At 41.2% G+C, this 3,195-nt stretch overlaps 1 annotated feature.

Moving 5' to 3' along the window:
- Positions 1,327 to 2,526: an enhancer, noted in NCBI's record as "CDK7 strongly-dependent group 2 enhancer chr8:58476407-58477606 (GRCh37/hg19 assembly coordinates)". NCBI's record gives its function as "activates an origin of replication core promoter dependent on BRD2, BRD4, P300/CBP, MED14 and CDK7 cofactors, with strong dependence on CDK7, by STARR-seq in HCT116 cells {active_cell/tissue: HCT116}" and the evidence as "EXISTENCE:reporter gene assay evidence [ECO:0000049][PMID:35650434]".

The following is a 3,195-nucleotide window of genomic DNA, read 5'->3' as shown; positions in this document are numbered from 1 at the left end:
GACAATCAGAGTTTTTAATGTTACCTACTTTGAAGTTTAAGTCAAGTCACAAATTACAGCAGCCATCTGGTCTTAGTTATCTATAGTTTAAATCATGATATTTCAAAAGAAATAAATCCAGATATGCAAAATATACAAAAAGAAAGACCAGTTGTCAACTTTCCTTGTTTGCTGTGTTTTGCTTTTTTGGATCTGGATAAATTTACTCAAGTACTTTCAAACTCTCTGGAAAATGCCTATTCCTATATAACACACTCCTATTTTATAGATTATCAAATTTTAGAATTAGTTGAAAAGTGTCCTGTGTGATCTCACAAAGCTTTGCAATCATGATTTCAAAATTTAGTAAAAAAAAGCTCAAAACCAAAAATGCCAGCCCATCTTGAACATAGATGTGAAAGATAGCCTTCTATGAATGACTAGATAATTGATTTCAGCAATACATTAAAAGTTAGATAGTTTTGGAGATAGAACCAAACAAAACCCAAGGAACCACAGGAAGATGGAATGTCCACACCAAGGACATCTGTCCTCTCTGCAGTTACCGTCTCTGGGTGCAGAGCTCACTGTGTGGTTCTGTCTCTCAAAAGGACTGCGAACCACAGCCTGGGCCATCCCCCTCCCCTGGTTACACCCAGCTCAGCCAAATGCACTGCCATGCCCAGGCCTGGACACCTCTTTCTGAGACCTTCCCCAAACTTCAGAATTTGCATGTGTGGGTTTCATGATCAATGACTAGCTTGCGTTCCTGTTGTCTCTGGAACAGACTTCTATACGAAAGATCAAATGTCCCTTCCAGCTCATGTTCTCCCAGACAGAAACCAGCATGGATGCTTGCTCAGGAAGCAAGCTCACGTGCACCACCAGAAGGCCATCATCACAGTCGCATTTTTATCTACCTTTGCCTTGTTCCCTTGTAGTTCTTTGGTGGGGATATACCATAAGGCCTTAATTTCTAAACTATATTGATTTAGACACTACTCTTCAGAAAAAAAAAGTAAGAAACATATGCACATCTAATGTTTATATCAACTGACATGTATTTATTGGAGATCAAGGAGATCAGGTGAATGTGATTTTGGCATCAAATTTCCTCCAGTTTAAAACAGAGAGGGGTACCAGTAGATGCTGGGTTTAAAACAGAGAGAGGTACCAGTAGATGCTGGGCATGGATTTCAGCCACCATCAAGCAGTTTCTTCAGTACATCTGGCCTGGCATTTCTAATGCTACTGATATTTCTATCTCATCACTGCTATTTTCTTCTATGACCTAGTAATAGGCCAAGGACCAAAGATTCTTGGGGTCTAATTGGTCTTTAAATTGCTAGTCATTCTCTCCGGGACAGCAGGAAGAGCGCGCCCAGTTGGCAAAATCTTTAAGGAATCCTGGGAGTGAGGTGGCCAGGAGTCGTCATTCTCCAGGACTGGCATCCTGCCTTGCCGGGCTTCCTCCTGCTTCTTAGTCCCAGAATGCTGCACCCCGAAGGCCTCCCTGCTGGTTCTTGAACAAACTCTGGGGGCCTCTCAGCCCACAGATGAGGCCAGAGGGAGCAGGCCTCAAGAAAGAAACCCAGGCTCAGGCCATTTCCCCCAAACCCACATCTGAAAGTGGAGAATACATCATGAGAACCTACCTATCCCAAGCCTCTAGGCCAGTGAGAAAGTCCTGGCCTTGCTCAGTGCCCAGCCACTTTCTGCCTTTTTAAATCTTGGAGGAGCAGAGCTGTTTTCAACTCTCTGTGGCAATCTGGACTTCATCTGTTTGTCTAGAAGACAGGAGTGCTCTACATTGACAATTCTGAAGGAGACTATTTCAAAGACAAAGAAATGCAAAATACAAAGGGCTTAATTCCTTGCATACTTACATTCCCCCACTTATAAATCATCTTATGAATGCACTGAAAGCATGAGTCACAGAGGGAGAGATGCATGATCAAAGAGTTCATCCCTGCATTTCAAAATGAGGTCACCTCGAATTCTGTGTGAAGGTGAACGGGGATACTGGCAAGCTCAGTTAATAATTATTCAGATTCTAGTCATTAATCCAGTATGTCTTTGTCTTGCTGGATAGAGATAAACAGAAGAGCAAGAATTTCCAGATCAAACGAGTGTTCTCAGTAGGACTATTAATACTTTTCATTATACAAGCCATTCATTTAATGAAACTAATTTCAATTTCTTAAGCTGAAATACATACAATGCAATCTGAAGTATGACTTGTTTTTTACCTTCTGATGTAAGATGAGTTTGAAAAGCAAAATGTAGCAATTTGTTTTATGAAATCAGAGATCAAACAGGCTTTCTAAGGTTGCAGGGTGATAGAGGACTTTATCAGCAGTTCTATTTTTCTAACTCTTTCCTAGGTGTTTTGATATCCTTTTTGTCACCAGTCTGCCCTTATTTCTCAAACTTGTTTGAAATATTTGATTTTCACATGCCACTGCAGTAGCCTTCACTGGGAGAAAGGGACAGAGAGGGAGAGAAGAAAAAAAAAGAGGATGAGAAGGAAGAGGAGGCAGGGAGGAAAGGATGGGAAGGATGCCTGACATCTTTTTAAAGAGAATGACTATTCTTTTCAATGCTTCCCCTACTCTGTTAAGTGCAGGGTAATGTCAAAAAATAATAGGAATAGAAAAGATATTCTGCATTTGATCTATAAACAGATCTAACACAATCTCAGCTACCTCTAACTTACAGGTGATCTAAAAACAATATTTTAAATTGGCACCTTAGAAATACTGTGAAAAAGAAAAATTTCTTTATCTTTGGGAGTGGAAGAAATCTTGGCGTGCCCGCCTGCCCTTCCTTCCTTCCTTCCTTCCCTCCTTCCTTCCTTCCTTCCTTCCTTCCTTCCTTTTTTCTACCCTTTGTTTTCTGATTATAGTGCAATGTATTAGGAGAAAGACCTCACCTCTCTAAATATTCATTCTCCTATCAGTGAAATTGGACTGAATCCTGATTCCCCAGAACTGGGGTGGACCTGGGGTATACTCAAGACATTACTATAGGACCATGATGATTGCTTTCCCTTGTTATATCAAACATTTTTTCCATCACCTATAATCTTCTTCATATTCAATATTTTGGCCAGTCGTGGTGGCTCATGTCTGTAGTCCCAGCACTTTGGGAGGCCGAGGCAGGTAGATCACCTGAGGTCAGGAGCTTGAGAACAGCCTGGCCAACATGGTGAGACCC

The sequence above is a fragment of the Homo sapiens genome, chromosome 8 (genome assembly GCF_000001405.40).
Source record: "Homo sapiens chromosome 8, GRCh38.p14 Primary Assembly".
In the NCBI taxonomy this organism is placed as follows: Eukaryota; Metazoa; Chordata; class Mammalia; order Primates; family Hominidae; genus Homo; species Homo sapiens.
Note: the sequence above shows the minus strand (reverse complement) of the source record. Positions and strands in the feature narration are given on the sequence as shown.